We start from the raw sequence: 16,395 nt of genomic DNA, 5'->3' as shown, positions 1-16,395 counted from the left end.
ATGCTCCCTAACCAATCACATGGGAGTCTCATTTCTTATAGCCACCTTCATTTTCCCCAGGCCAACACCCTCCACTCAGGGCAACCCGAAGGCTTCCTTTCTTTCTTCTTTGAGGCTTTCCCACTCCCCTACCTGCCTCTGAGTTTCTGCCAAAACACAAGGGATGGTGGCTGACTCCCTCGCTAGCACAAGCTCTGAATAAATAGCCTTTGCTCCTCATTTGGCTGGCTTCTGTTCATTTCCACAGCTCACAGTTTAGTTGGGGGTTGGGGTCACTCCAGGTAGGCAGCATTGGCCAACGTGGTTGATTAAAATGCACCCCCACACACTAACTCTGCAGAATGCACTTGGAGGAGGCAGGTTTGAAGGGATTGATGTACTCATCTGTTCCAGATGGAGGGCAGAGAGGCTCAAGAGATGTTTGAAATCATTGTGTTTTGACCAGAAACTTCATTAGCCTGAAGACAATGGGGCAATTGTCCTGGGGCAGACAAAGCAGAGTGCTGGGGACTTGGATAAGCTGCCACCTGAGCTGTCTGGGCACAGATTTCCACAGGCCGATGCCCGGCGGTGAAGAAGGCAGTTCTCTTCCTGTGAAAGGCAGCCACTGGGGGTGGTGGCCACTCAGTCCCACTGGAGGGGGCCAACATGGACAAGTGGCCCTGTCACCTCCTTGCTGGGGCAAGTCACCAATGTTTTTAGCAGGCAAGAGGCATCTCAAATTAAACCCAACTAAAAGAGATGTGCCTTGGGAAGGGAATGGCATTTTCTAGTATAAGAACAAAATGTTGTCATGGACGGAGAGCTTTAAAGACATGATACCTTTATTTTGCAGGGAGAAGCAGTTGGAAATGAAAGAAGTTGAAATGTACAATACTAATTAAAAAGAAACGGGATAGCCCTGAAATGTATTCCCGGCCCCCTCTCTCACCAGTTTCTGATATTTTGAAAACTTCAGGAGATAAATTCGAGTTTTTCTCCAGACATGGCTCTACAAAGAATCACATTTAGAGGCACTGCTTGGAGCTTGGCCAGTTAGGAAGAAGGGTGAGGAAGACTCCGCACCAGAGCCCTGTTGGTCCTGGCACAGGCCCCCATAAACAGGAAGAGAAGGTGCTAAAATACCTTTGTTCTTTTTAAAGAAGGGCTGCCAATTACTTCAACCAAGGTCCTGATTCCACTCCTGCTAATTAGGCTGACATCACAGAATTTACCAGAAGAAAAGTGGCCTGGAAAGCCACTTTCCCCGTCTCTAGGCTTCTGTGTGATCATGTGACACAGCAGTTACTATGGCGATTATCAGTCTTGAGTGGATTGTCCACAAGTTAAACTTACATCTGACAAGTCAAATTTGTCAGTTTGGGGAAAAAGTAAAGTGGGTTACTTTTTTTATTTTTCCTTGAAGAGATTTTCTTGGCTCCTGGAGATACCTTCTCCCCCTTTCTAGCTGACAGGTTTTTTTCCACACTGTAGTTTTGAGGTTGTTTTATTCTCTCTTGTGGTCTATATTGTGCATAAGAAATAGACATAGCTGGCAGCTGTGGCCCTCCATCATGATGTGGGGATAAAATAAAACACTTCCTGTGATTCAGTGAGGCACCAATCATAGGCTCTGCCTCTTCTGTGATGGGAATAGTATGCCAGCGACTGGGTTTTCTCTCCAACAAGTGTTTTCAATTTCCTTCATGGGCACAAACTGCACCACCACCAACATACCATGATCCTGCATGTGGGCATGTGTGCACATATGTGTGATGGGATTCCTAGGCTATAATGTTATTTTCCCGAATGCTGCCAGACACATGTCTCTGGAAATCCAGTGCTCTATCTCTCTTATGCCTTCTTGTGCATACAAATGCAGACCAGGAGCCAGAGCCAGAAAATACATACATAAAACCAGAAACCTCTTATGCTGATGCCGCGGAAAAATAACAGATATGGACCTCATGGAGGAGCAGGCTCTCCATAAACCAGCCAGAACCCACCTACCCCAACCCCAGATGCAGACAGACTGGTGCAGGTGGCCCAGCTGGGGCTGTAGGAAGAGTGTGAAGAAGCTGCAGGAAGAGTGGGTCCTGCTCACTGCCTTCTCTTTTTTTTTTTTTTTGTTATCTTGCACTCCCCATGCCAGGGGACATGGGAGGTGGAGAATCCTCGTGAAGTGCGTGGGGACAGTTGACCATCCTCCACTCCTCCCAGTCTACCCCCAGAGCCTCTCTCTCTACAGGTTTGCCTGGCTCTTAATTTGAGGACCTGTCTCTGCAGAGGCCCCTTGGTGATAAACTCAGGGTCACGAGTCAGTTCTCATAGGGATGTTCACTCTCCAGACTCACACCCACTGGCTGCCCTTGCAGACCTGCTGGGTGCCACAGAACCAGGGCACACTGCAACCAGAGCTTCCAGAAACTGGGAATCCTGGAAGTATCCAGGCAAGAAGCCAATAGCTCCAGGGACCCTGTGGCTCTGGGATGCAGGTGGCCTCTGCTCACCAAGTTCATGCTGGTAGGTATGTGGATGCTGCACTCCGTCCTCTGAACAAGATGGCCACTTTCCTTACTGGCAGATAGTGAAAAAGAATCCTTTTAGCACTGTCTAAGCAAGAGGCTGGCCTGCCTACTTGCCAGAACTTTCCGTGAACTTGCCAGAACACTCCTGGCCTCAACCAAGCCTCCCGCCTCAGCCTCCCAAGTTGCACAATCTCATGATGCAAAAGGTATCCCTCTGGCCTGCACCCTGCCAGGAGCTGACAGGCGTCCAGGGTAAGCCAAGATGGGTTTATCGTGAAGCTCCCAGAGTGAGAGGGTAGTCCCAGCATAATGGTGCCAGGTAGGAAGGTGCCTGAGGAGTTAGGGCTAATGAGAGCCATCATTTATCATGAGGTGCCCACATAGTGGGCAGGGCCACCTGCCCTTTTCCAGTTACTCCTACAACCTGGCAGGGCCTCACATTCCCACCAGGAGATGTTTGCTTCCTCCCAGGATCCAGACAAGGTTCTGGGTGAAGACAGACAGGAGTGGTGGGGACAATGACTAGGATCCCTGCTGGCACTGCAGGAGAGCCCTCAGCGGATTACAGGAGGGCCCATCTGCTGAGAATCTGCTCATGCCAGGCACCATGCTAGGAACATTCTCATTCTAACTTTATTCTCATCCTTCAGAGAAAGCCTCCAATTTAGACCCTGTGATTCCATTTTACAGAAGAGAAATCTGGGGTCCAGCACTTCAACAATGCCTGTGTGTCCCAGTGCCAGTAGGGAAAGCAGAATTTGGACCCAGAATTACAGACAGACCCTGAATCAGTGCTGTTTCTTGCATTCCAGTGCTCCCCAAATTTCAGCAACTCATGTGTCACCATGCACCCCATTTACTTGATATTTTTCTTCTGATCAACTTGAAATCACTCACTTTTAAACTTCAGCTTGTCTTAAGCCATGATATTCATAAAATAATGGATTTAATGTGCAAGTAACACTTTTTCCAGATCTCATTAAAAGTTTCCTGGCCACAGAGCCCCTCTTGAGGGAGGTGAGGGAGATCTGGAAGGAGGAAATATGTAGATGGAAAGGAGAGGAGTTAGCAGAAAGCACCAGTAAAATAGAAGTAGGCTGTATATGAGTGAGTGGACGGCTCATTTGTTTCCCAGGACTGCAGTAACAAATGCCCACCAACTGAGTGGCTAACAACAACAGCAATTTACTCTGTCTCAGCTATGGAGGCTCCAAGTGCAAGATCGAGGTGGGGGCAGGGTCATGGTCCCACTGAAACTTGCAGGGGCGGGTCCTTACTTGCCTCCTCCTGAATCTGGTGGTTGCCTGCAATTCCTGGCACTCTTTGGAGGGGCTGAGTCACTCCAATCTCTGCCTCTGTCTCCATACCACATTCCCTCGTGTGTGTGTGTGTGTGTGTGTGTGTGTGTGTGTGTGTGTGTGTGTGTGTGTGAGAGAGAGAGAGAGAGAGAGAGAGAGAGAGAGAGAAAGAGAGAGAGAGAGAGAAGAGAGAGACCCTGGCTCTCTTTTTAAAACATTTATTTATTTATTTATTTGTAGAGACGTGGTCTTGCTCTGTGGCCCAGGCTAGAGGGCAGCAGTGTGATCACGACTCACTGCAGCTCCAGCTGGGCTCCAGCAATCCTCCTGCCTCAGCCTCCCCAGTAGCTGGGATTATACGCATGTGCCACCAGCTAATTTTTTAATTTTTAAAATTGTTTTAGAGATGGAGTCTTGCTATGTTTCCCAGGCTGGTCTCACATTCTTGACCTCAAGCAAGCCTCCCACCTCAGCCTCCCAAGTTGCTGGGGTTGCAGGTATGAGCTACCTGGCCCTGCTGTTTTCTCCTTTCATAAGAACAACAGGCATTGATGTACTATGACCATCCAACATGAAGAGTATGACCTCATCTTAATGAGTTACACCCGCAAAGACCCTATTTCCAAGTAGGGTCACACTCTGAGGTCCTGGATGGATGTGGATACAGGGTCACTCTTCGACCCAGCACAGATGGAGCGAGTGTGGGTGTGAGCGTGTGACACACAGCAGCCCTGGGAAGGGACGTGTGATTGAGCTGTGCAGTTAGCGAGAGGCAGCCCGTGGGGGAGAAATACCCTGGTAAGGAGGCTCAGGCCTTCTCACTGCGGGCCTGCCTGTGCCTCTCTGGAACTTTCTACCTCTATCAAGGGAGAAGCTCAGACATCGCCAGAGTGAGAGATGAAACGTATCACAAATTAAAAAGAGGACTACCATATGATCCAGCAACCCCATTTCTGGGTATTTATCCAAAACAGTCAGCATCCTTATGCTCCTAGAAGCCTATTTACAATAGCCAAGAAGTGGAAGCAACCTAAATGTCCACCGACAGATGAATGGATAAAGAAAATGTGTTGTATTCACGCAATGGAATAATGGAATATTATTCAGCCTCAAAAAAAAGGAAGGAAACTCTGACACATGCTGCAACATTGATCAATCTGGAGGACATGATGCTAAGTGAAGAAGGCAGACACAAAACACTGTTTGATTCCACTAACGTGCCGTATATAAAATAGTGAAACTCGCAGAAACAGACAGGAGCATGGTCCTGCCAGGGGCTGGGGGAGGGGACTGAAGAGCTGCTGCTCAAAGAGCCTCAAGTTTCAGTGCAGTGAGATGAATAAGCCCTGGGGACCGGCCATGAAGCATGGCACCTGCCTAGAGTTAACAAGACTGTATTGTGCCCCTAGAAACCAGCTAAGAGGGGAGATTGCACGGTAAGTGTTCTTAGCACAATAAAATCAAATTTTTTGAAAAAGAGTTAAGCAGAAAGAAATAAACCTTTATTTGGAAAACAAAAACAAACTTATTATATCGCTGGCCTTGAAAGTGGGTAGGGGCCGAGGGGCTCCCTGGGGACTGGGAAGAGGCCCTGGCTGTTGCTGCTTTGGTCTTTTCCTGCCTCACTCTTGTGTCTTATTTCCCCGCTAGCTCAGAGGTGGATGGGAGAAGTGCCATTGATTGGGGCCTCTCATACCTGGGCCGCCAGGGCCATCTCCACTTACAGAGAAGGAGGCTGATTCTAAGGCAGGAGCACATGGTGGAGAGCCCATGGTCAACTGGGGGAGGCTGTGCCCAGCACAGTGGCTCCAAGCACACAGCCCAGTCTAGAAACTTCCCTGAAGGAGGGGCTCTGTCCACGTCACCAAGTTTCCCCAGACTGCCTTGTGCTGGCATTCAAGAGCTTATGGGGGTGACCCCTCAGCCATGGGGTGGCTGATGGGCAGGGCCTGGGGTCCAAAGTCTCCCTTCCCACTTGCCCCCCTCATACACATGACCCCACTGGGGGTGAAGGCAAATCCTAGCATTTTCTGAGCTGGCCTTTGGGATGGGCTGTCATCACATATCTGGGATGCAGGCCCTTCCCATGAGCGCTAGTCACTGGGGCTCGGGTTCCTGCAGCTAGGTGTGCGGCTCCTGGAGTGAAGTGGCCACTGTAGGCCTCTGTGGGTGTCTGCCCCACTCATGATGTTCCCTTGTCTGGGAACTGCCTCTCCCATCCACAGAGATGAGCCTCGAGGAGTCACCTGTGTTCTGTGGGACCTTGGATTAGTCAGGGTCCCCCAGAGAAACAGAGCCGAGAGAAGAGTAGGATGTGCATTAATTGGCTCATGTGATTACAGAGGCTGACAAGTTCCAAGACCTGCAGCCAGCGAGCTGGAGACCCAGGAGAACTGACCAGTTCTCGACATCATTTCTCACACAGGCCTTTGTTGGAGTCCAAAGGCCTGAGCCCAGAAGGCCCAATGGTGTAGCTCCTGTTCCAAGGCCAGCAGGCTCCCAACCCAGGAAGAACCAGTGTCCCTGTTCAAAGGTACTCAGGCAGGGGGAGTTCCCTCTTGCCCTCAGAAGGTCAGCCTTTTTGTTCTACCCAAGACTCTACTGATCGGATGAGGCCCACCACAGTAGCAATCTGCTTGACCCAGTCTATTGATCTAAATGGTAATCTCATCCAGAAAACCCCTATTAATTAATTAATTAATTAATTAATTAATTATTGAGATGGAGTCTTGCTCTGTCACCCAGGCTGGAGTGCAGTGGCACAATCTCGGCTCACTGCAATCTCTGCCTCCCGAGTTCAAGCAATTCTCCTGCCTCAGCCTCCCTAGTAGCTGGGATTACAGGCACCCGCCACCATACCCAGCTAATTCTTGTATTTTTAGTAGAGACAGGGTTTCACCATGTTGGCCAGGCTGGTCTCAAACTCTTGACCTTGTGGTCTGCCCATCTCGGCCTCCCAAAGTCCTGGGATGACAGGCGTGAGCCACCGTACCCAGCCTCCTATTTAGAATAATGTTTAACCAAATATCTGGGGACTTTGTGGCCCAGTTAAGTTGACACATAAAATTAATCACAGATCTCAAGCCAATCAGATTCTCTCTCCAGAGGAATTTTCTACTGGGACAGAGAGACCAGCTGGTCTCTGCCTTGGTAGGACCTGGGGACCTGATGGGCAGACAACTTTGCTCCTGGCCTCCTTCTCAGGCCCTTGAGAATTGTAGGACACCACCCCTCCCTGCCCCTGTATCTTGATCAGACGCATACCTTCCACCTTAGATGAGCTTGGGCTGAGTTTCTTGCCTGCATCCCCACCGGGACCCCTGTGAAGGCTGGCTCCCCTCAGTCAGGCTCTCCCTCCTCTGTGGGGTCTTCACCCATCCCTCCCATGTTTTCTTACGGCTGGGCTGGGTCATACTTAGAGAACTGACTAAATACAGAGTCTCACATCCTCAGTGATTATTACAATAATTCGAGTGAACACGGAAGACTAGATTTTTATTTGTGGGAGTGTGTGTGTGTATGTGTGTGTGTGTGTGTGTGTGTTTCTAACACCAGCCACTTGCTTCCAGAGACACATTTCCATCTGTGTGGTCACTAGCCTGCAAAGTTGTGGCACTTCTTGGTGCCTCCTTCAGGGCAAGTCTGAAATATTTTAATAGACGACTTAAACGTCCTTTAGGTAGAGGTTTCCAGAAAAGCCAGTGGAGTTGGATATATGGTTTTAATAACAATTCTAGTTACTGAGGCTTCTCCTCCCATCCTTGGCTTGGGTACATACAGTATAGTTAAAACTAAACTGTCGAAGGGGAATGATTTAAAGCAAAGTTCTGGCCGTGAGTGGGCCTTGGGAAACCTGCTTTGAGGTGCTTTGTTTTGTTTCTGGAAGAGAGCTGGGGAGGACAGCCAATGCTATGTCAGCGTGGCTGCATTTTTGCAGCATGGAAGTCGGCGGGATTATTTTATTATCACGCTGACTGGACTATCACCCTGGTCACAGGCTGCAGCAAGGAAGACTGAATGTTTGCAACTGTAGGTGATGAAGATGCCACAGAGATGGCCTAATTAATCTTCTCATCTGTTAGCTGGGGACTCAGGGAGCCCGACTTGCTCCAAGTCTCCCAGCCAGGCTGTAGGAGAGCTGGATTGCACCAAATCAGACACAAATTCCAGATGGCTCAAGGACCTAAGTGGAAACGTGAAAATTTCCAGTCACGAGAGAACACCTTTATGACCTCATGGTGAGAAGGAGGGACTTCTTGGGGAAGACTCAAAAAGCACAAACCAAGCGACAAAAGGCTGACACACTTGACCACATTACAATTAAGAATTTCTCTCTACCTTAAAACAAGAAGAAAAGCCAGTGTGTAAAGTCTAGGTTTCCCAGGTTGTGAATCATTCCCCCTGGAAGCATAGGATGGTATGCATGGGAAGAGTGGCAGTGTTGGCTCCCTCCCAGCACCAGCCCCTTGCAATAATATATGCCCCACAACAGTGCTGTGAAGCATGCGTCCCCAAGTCACATGGAGGAAGCTGAGCCTGGGGAGGCCAGTTGCTTGCCACAGTCACTGATCTGGTGAGTGACAGGGCACCACAAGCCACCACCCCCTGCAATCATCACCTATGGACTCACCAATGCCCCTCTCCTCCCCTCCCACCTTTGCAGGAACCAAGGTGTCCTTTAAAAAATAAAAATCAGACTGTGATATCCTCACCATCAGGTCCTTCTCCTCCTCACCTCTTACCACATTTCCCTTTCCCCAGCTCCTGCAGTGTGGGCCTCCCCAGGGCCTTTGCACAAGCTGCTCCCTCACCTGAGACCCTCTTCTCACTTCTCCACGTGGTCAATGTCACTCATCCTGAAATGCCACCACCTGGGAGAACCCTGCCCTGGCCTGGATGCCATTCCTCTTAGCACTGTACATAATTTGGCTTCTATGTATTTGTTTAACATCTGTCTGGAGTACACTGAATGCTCTTTTGTTCCTGACTGTACTCTTAGCTCCTAATGCAGTGGCGGGCACATAATACATGCTCAACCAAAATTTGTTGACTGAATGGTGAGTCCCTACTGAAATGTTTCGAGCACTGTCCCTAATGAGCCATGTGACCTTGACTATGAAAGCCCACAGCGCCTCCCAGCTCTGACCTACATTCACCCAGCTACTCAGAGACAATAACCCTACTGTGTGCCAGGCAACAGGGATGCAGTGCTCCAGGCAGCCCAGGGTCAGGCAGCATCTACCAAGAGTCTAAATTCACACAATTCTCTTGGTCTCCAACTTGCCTGGAGATGGCTGGCCTCCCCAGATGTTGGCTTGCGTTTCCTGGGTGGCCCCCTGGCTATGGAGGTGATGCCGGGGGCGGGGGATGAGTTCCAGCCTCCAGGAAGGATGCACCTGAGCCAAAAGGCCATAGTAGTGCAGGAGCCAGGGCCAGCAGCCAGTCAGAGGAGGGCGGAGCCTTCGGGACAGCAGCACGTCTCTGATGCCAATGGTACAGCAGCAGCCCTGCCCGCCCTGAGCAGGCTCCCTTCAGGCTGTAACTCCTGTCTATTATTCAAAAAAGGGAACCTTTTTCCTCCTCTCAAGCTTTGTACAAAACCATGACGAAATAATTAAGTTGTTGACTCTTCTTTCTTCCTGGGGCAGAAAACACAGCCCCACAGAGGATCACATTTCACCTGTGTGCTGCCCATCTGTGCTCCAAGCTCAGAAGTCTGCAGAAGGAGCCCTCCACCAGCCCTGCAGCAGGGTCCCCGTGCTTCCTCACCAGCGGGGCTCTCTCCACGGGCTTCTCTGCACAGCGCAGCATTTTTTTAAACCAAGGTTCTAAAATTTACCTTGCTTCTTTAGAGGCACCTAGGAAGCCTTCGTTGCTTCAGTGAGCTTCTCATGGTAAACAACCAGAAACAAATCGTAATCATACGGGGAAGGGTTGAGCTGGCAGGGTCGTGTGGAGGAAAGGGCCAGCTATGTGGATTCCATCTCCGCTGGGATAGGACTTCTGAGGACGGGGGAGTGCCCTGAGAGGCCACTGGGTGAGGGGCCAGTGGGGGTCTTGGGAATGAGGGAGACACTGGACAATTTTTGCTGCTTTCTGAGAGGTGAAGTTACTTGACAGGAGTAAGTGGGGAGAGAAAGGCAGAGGGGAGGAGAAAGGAGCCTGCACCTACTGAGTGCTCACAAAGTGCCCTGTGCTCTGCCCATGGGTTACCTCAATTTTCTCACTTAAGTCCCTTGCTGACCCTGAGAAACAGAGATTATCATCCTCATTTGATGCTTCAAGAAACTGAGGCTCAGACAGGCTGAGCAACTTCCCCAAGATCACACAGTGATTTGCACCCAGGCCCATCTAAAGCATTCATACCGCGCTGCCTTGCATGGAGGAAGGGAATAGGGTGGCCTGAGAAAGTCTGACCAATAGCCCCTATCCTCTCCCACCTGAGCTGGGATCCTCGTGACAGATCTGCAGACATGCAGTGGAGCTATTCCAGCCACAAGGCCCTCAAGCATTTGCCAAACCAAGCATTTGCTGCAACCAACAAATGAATCTGTGCACCCCTTCCAATAGCCCACACACAATGGTTTGGTTCAATGCGTCTATGTTTGAGACAAGCACTTCCAAAAGGAAAGCACGTGTCTGGCCAGTGGGACCCATAGCAGGTTCAGAGTCCGAAGGGCCATGAGGCATCCTTGGCACCGACTGCCCCGGCCAGCTGTGCAAGGTTGGAGGTGGTAGGTGGGGTGTGCATTCACCAAGGCTTTTCCTCGGCATTAATCTGCTTACAAGAAGACTGCGCAGACTCTTGTGAAAAGTTCACCAAGGTTACATGCAGGGGGAAAGGCAAGGCCAAGGTAGGAACGGGGACCTCCATGGAGCGGATGACCTGAGAAAGCTGCAGATGGAAGATGGTGGAAAGATGACGTGAAGGTTAGGGCACAAGAGTAACAAGTGTCCTGGGCTCAGGGGGAAGTTAATCCTAGTCAGGGAAAGCAGGGAGGGAAGAACCATCTATACCACCCATGAGGGATGGAGTTGAGAAGGCCCAGGCTCTGTAACTCCAAAGCTCAGGCTCTTACTGGGCCATCACACAGCCCCCTGTGTGCTAAAGTGATAAGTGCCCTACGTCAGAAAGCACTCATACCTCTCTAAACAGACTCAAGATGGAGCTGGATTCCAAACCCGGAAGCAAGGCTCTCTGCAACTCATTTTTTTTTTCACTTTCCATATTGTGCCGAACAAGTGGGGAGGGTTGAAGGCAGTGGGATGTTCAGAATGTTGGCAAGTGACAGTGACCAGAGGCAATGGAAAGCAGGACAGGATGTGACTTGAGCATGTTGTGGAGGGTAGGACAGTGCCGGGGCAGATTCAGGTCCTCCCCATGCTCCGCCGGGCTGGCTGGCCCTGGGGAAACGGCAAACGAGAGTTAGCCAAGGCAAAAGAGCTTCTTAAAAGTGTTTTTGATTGTGAAATATACCACTCATATTATAAAATGCATCACACATACAGAAGACTGTACAAAATGTACCTGAACGATTTAAAGAATAATCATAAGATGAACATTTGAGTATCCACACCCAATGCTAAACAAAACAAAACAAAACAACAAAACAAAAAAGCAGCATCTTACAAAACGGTCCTGTGTTTCTCTCACATGGTGTCTTCCTCCCTCCCTCACCAGGGCTAGCAAACCTCCTGATTTTTATGTCGGTCATCCACTTGTTTTTCTTTATAATTTACCATTTATGTGTGATCTCTAAACAATGGATTCTTCAGTTTAAAAAAAAATTAGTAGCAAGCACAAAGCCAGCTGTGCAAAGAAAGGGCAATGTAGCCCCAATAAACAGAGGCCCCAAGAGCAAGTAACATGCCGCAGAATATCAGAGGCTGGCCTCCGCTGCCCCGATGATGACCTAATTACTTGGTATTCCAGGAACTGGGCCAAGGGGCAGCCCAGTCTGCCAGAACATCAACTCCAGCAGGGAGAATGGGGTCCATGAGGCCCAAGGGGGCAGAGCAAGGCAGCTCATGTCCTGAGAAGCCTGCCACCTCATTCCCACACCGGCCTTGTCTCCATCCTCCCCATCTCCTGGGACCAGGGGTATTAGGAGAGGGGTGATCCCGCACAGAGACCCCCCACGGCTTTTGGGGGTGGAAGACTGAGATGCACTGAAGGCATCGACTGCTGTGGGCAGGGCTGGAAGGTCCCTGACCGGGGGATTAATGGAGGCATCATGAGAGTGGACTAGGGCCGCTCTGTGTTGCTCCCTCGGGGAGGGAGGGCAATGATGCAAGATCAAGCAGTCGGGGGAAGATCCTCAGGGACCGGGCGGGAGCTGAAGACTTCCAAGAACAAAGACGCCGGACTCTAATGCTCAGTATGAAGTCCTGTGACTAATTCCCCCCATACTTATTCATTCAATAGCAGGCACCCCCTCACCCACCATTCATTAAAGTCTGTTCCATGCAAAAATGTCTTCTGAGACTGAGTTGTGAGGTATCAGTGAGGGGCTAGAGTTCATCTCTAGGTTTGATGTCACCCAAGATAGAGAACCCAGCTAATGCAGAGGACCATGTATCCGTGGAACTAATCCAGTGAGAGCAGAAGCTTGGAATTGGGCTGTAGAGAGCTATGGAACCCCACAGCAATTTGAGGTGATCTTAACCAGATGTGTAAGAGACTATTTAACCCGTGCACTAGCATCTGCGCTCCTCTGATGTGCTCCCGTCTCTCTCCTACCCGTCTCTCTAGACTAGAGGCCTTCCCGTGTGATTGCTGGCAACTCCAGTGCAGGGACTGGCTGGCATTTCTTTGTCCCTCCAGCACCACCTCCTGCCTAGTGCAATTTATGGTCATGATGGTTCAGAAAGAACTTTTTGAAGGGATAGCCCATGCCAGATTTTATCATGACGCAACTTTGCTTCAACTGGATGTTAGTGTAGAATCAATCTCCTTAGTTATTTAGAGGAAGCAGGATGTTCAAGAAGGTAGACAGCAAATAGTGGACACATTTATTTTAGGGAAAAGAATCATTAGAGTGTGTATTCTTCCAGTCGTGCAGTCATTAATTTAACTATCATAATGCATATATTTAAAAAGGAAGAAAATTAACATTTAGTGAGTGCCTACTGCATGTTTCATATCTTTGATTCTTCCTGGGTTTACAAAAAGTATCTCTGAAGTCTTGTAGTGTGTCCACTGAGTTTCTCTAGTTTCACTAAGCCTCCGGACAGAAGAGCTCCAGGCAGCACAGCAGTCACCTTCTGCTCCCTGTCCTGGCCACTCCTGTCGGGAGAGAAGGCTGGGGCGCTGTGGGGCACTGACTACAGGTCTGTGCCGGAGTTCCCCGATGATGCTGGCTGTAAGTAATGAGCGTGGTCTGCTGGGCCTTCCATGCAAAGTTGGCTCAGAACCAGCACCCTCTCCCTGCCCTCACCGGTGTGGCTCCTATGGGGAAACAGAGTCAGAGCTGAATGGAGGAAAACCTCTCAGTGAGGGCAGAAAATGAAGTTCACCTGGCCAGCCCAGACACCCAACAAACAAACCAAAAACAAAATATAAACAAATAAACAATAAATAAATGCCAAGCACCACGTGAAACATTTGCATCTGCTGCTTCACAAACCTACGAGTGCCAAGTGTGGTATATGAAGATGAGCAATTCTCACATCTCTCTTTAGACAACAGAATTTACCAAACTGCAAGAAAAACTGACCTCCAGATGTTACCGCCACCTGATGCATATTGAATGAGCTCAAAACAAGCTTCTGAATTTGGAATCATCCTTCTCAAATTGATGGAGAAAGTGACAAAAGTGGAGGCATTTCTGTGGGTGTGGAGGGTGCCGAGAGCCAGATGTGGCTTCTTGCAGGGACACAGACCTGCCTCCAAGACAAAGTATTCATTTGGTGGCCCCGGGGGCCCCTTCTCAGGAATAGTTAATAATATTAACAACTCCAACACTTCGTGAAATTATTTAGGTAATTAGCAAATAAAGATTACACCTCTAATTTCTTCTTTAAATTCTGATTTGGGGCCCTAGACTCAAAAAAAAATTGAGGCATTCGTAAGTCGAAGTTTTACCACTACGAGAGTTAGCATTTCCTAGTGTGGAGAAAAAAAATCAGATAAAGAAATTGCACTAGAAAGTGAAATTGGATTTTTTAAAAAATCAATGAAGTAACCAGGCTATTAAAATGGAAAATAAGTCTGATGTCATTCTGAAAAATAAGGGAGTGAGTCACCTGCAGAGCCACTTAATTAAGCACAGGAAGTAACAGGAGAGCTTGAGTAATTTTCCCCGTTAATGTCAGTATTTCAAAATGAGTGAGGCGTTAGGCCACTCTCTTTTAATCTGAGAGCTAAATCAGCTCTTTTGCCCTCAGGACATCTTGAGACATTTGAAGTTGATGAAGAGCAAAAAGGAATGTATTAAAAATTATCCCAACTGCACTCAAACAAGGAGAAAACTAAGCTTTCTACTTTAGGTCCCTGGGGCGTGGAGTGATGGAGGCCGGGGAGCAGGCACTGGGAGCAGGCGCTGGGAGCCTGGGGCTGGAACGCTCTCCATACGGAGGGGGGAGGCAGCCGAAGGGGGCACCGTCACAGTGGTCATAGGGAATGTCAGCAGAGGTCTTCCCAGGCTCCTGGGGATTGCAGTAATTTTCATTTCTGGCCTGTAGCAGCTGAGAGGGGTGGCTTCTGTGTTTGGGTTTTCACAGAAGTGATGTGGGACATTTGAGCACCTTGAAAGAAAGTGTCCGTTCTCCTTCCTGTCAATGCGGGGTCAAGCGGGGCCTGGCTGGCCTCCCCTCCTGCCTCTACCAGCCAGAGCGCCCTGGCTTCATCTGCCCCAGCCAGGACACTAGGTCTGGGGCGCTCTCCCAAACAGCAGTATAGAAATGCCCCAGGCCTGCCCCAGACCCACCCTAGGGAAGCGTGGGGACCGTCCCAAGGTGCGCTTGGGGGCTCTGAGTCTCAGTCCTCTCCACCAAAGTGAAGGAGGCTCCTGAGGTTCCTGCTGGATCCCAAACTAGAGCAGGCTCTGACAAGGAGGACCGGGGCTGTCCCCTGAGGCCTCGTGTTTAGAGCATTCCATCGTCCTCCATCCATCAGGGCCATCATCATCAAAGGCCTGTTCCTCTCCACTGCTGGGATTAGCATAGTTTGCACCTATGTCTTTTGGTGTTGGTTGGTTGTTTTGTGTCTACTATTATTATTTAACTTTGCTGAAATTCGGGAACTTTAATCCCTACATCTGGCCTGGTTTCCATAAGGGCTTGTTTGGAGAACCAAGCCCACGGGGGTGTGAGTGCCTGCGAAACACAGAAAGAAGCCGAGACCCAGGACTGAAGACTCGAGACTGCTTTGGGCGTGTGGAGTTTGCATCCCTGATGAGTAAGTCAGTCTGTTCTGAATGATCCAAGCTTAATTCGTGGTTAAAAACAAAAACTGGCCACAACCAGGCAGCTCTAGGTTTTAGACAGCACCCTAAACCCCAAGGACCACCAGACACTTTCCCAATATTAACCACCAAGAGTGAAAAATGCATAATGCTCAGTTTGCAAAGTTAACTTCATTAGAAATGATTCTCCCTCCCAGGTAGTTCTTTATTACTTCATCTTGAAATTGGCAATGTAGCGCTGGGTTTTTACTCTAACTTTTAAAATGTTTCTCGTTCTCCCCCATCCCACCCCAAATAGAATCGCTTGATAAAAACAAAAGCAAATTAATATTTGGTGTTCACGTTTTTAACCAATCAGCCAACTGAGAACCAGGTGGGCTAATCCTAATCCCTTTTTGAGGATTGTCCTGAAGGCCAGAGGCCAGGTGTGGCCTCCAGCCTCAGGCACCCACAGACTTTCAAGAGGCCTCTTCCTGAGGTCCTCTCTCCCTACTTTAACAAATTCTCCTCCCACATGAGATGACACATCTGACAGTCACCCAGCTGCTTGATGTATGCAGGTCAAGCTGTGAACTGGCTTTGAGTTCCAATCACCATTAGAAGGTAAATTCACTGACTTGAAAGCTTACTGATGTCATGGAGTCATAATCAAAGATCTCTTTGAAGTGGAAGTTGGTCAGTCATTGCAGGAGGAGGTAAGAAGGGGTGAGATAAAAACTCAGGCAGCTGAAACCATTACCCTCCGGGGAAGCAAACCCCAGCCCTCAATTCTGAATCCCCAGTAAGGCCTCTCCCCAGTGCAAGCAAGCCCACCTTTCCTTAGCCATCCCCATTCATATCCTCATCTGCTTCTGCCTCACCAAGGGTGACTGCTGTTCAAATCCTGGCTCAGCTGCTCACCGGCCTTATGCCCCTGCCCTGGGGAAGGCCAATGCTTGGCTGCTTGCTCACCTACTAAACAAGAACCCTCTGAGTGTTGGTGCATTTCCCTCGGTGAAGGGTTTGGCTTGGAGTCAGGGTCTTCTCTCTCTCTTCTGATTGCGAGCCTGGCCGGACCCTTGCCTGGGTAAATACACATGCTCTACCCTCACCTGCCCCCGACATCCCACCCACCTGCCCTTCTCTGCCCCCTGGGCCTGCCCCATCCCTTGGCTTCCTGCCCTGCCTTTGACCTGGCACCAGCAC

The 16,395-nt window shown here is 49.5% G+C and overlaps 1 long non-coding RNA gene across 1 annotated transcript in view, besides 2 other annotated features; it reads right to left on the bottom strand.

Annotated features, from left to right (window-relative positions):
- Window positions 1–16,395, bottom strand: part of NCAL1 (NK cell activity associated lncRNA 1) — a 282,375-nt gene that overhangs the window by 88,319 nt on the left and 177,661 nt on the right. The gene's annotated exons all lie outside the window — the stretch shown is intronic.
- Window positions 9,302–9,848: an enhancer, noted in NCBI's record as "H3K4me1 hESC enhancer chr2:87939206-87939752 (GRCh37/hg19 assembly coordinates)". NCBI's record gives its function as "activates a minimal SCP1, AML or CMV promoter by ChIP-STARR-seq in primed H9 embryonic stem cells {active_cell/tissue: H9 hESC(primed)}" and the evidence as "EXISTENCE:reporter gene assay evidence [ECO:0000049][PMID:30033119]".
- Window positions 15,571–16,321: an enhancer, noted in NCBI's record as "NANOG-H3K27ac-H3K4me1 hESC enhancer chr2:87932733-87933483 (GRCh37/hg19 assembly coordinates)". NCBI's record gives its function as "activates a minimal SCP1, AML or CMV promoter by ChIP-STARR-seq in primed H9 embryonic stem cells {active_cell/tissue: H9 hESC(primed)}" and the evidence as "EXISTENCE:reporter gene assay evidence [ECO:0000049][PMID:30033119]".

This window comes from Homo sapiens, chromosome 2 (genome assembly GCF_000001405.40).
Source record: "Homo sapiens chromosome 2, GRCh38.p14 Primary Assembly".
Taxonomy (NCBI): Eukaryota; Metazoa; Chordata; class Mammalia; order Primates; family Hominidae; genus Homo; species Homo sapiens.
Note: the sequence above shows the minus strand (reverse complement) of the source record. Positions and strands in the feature narration are given on the sequence as shown.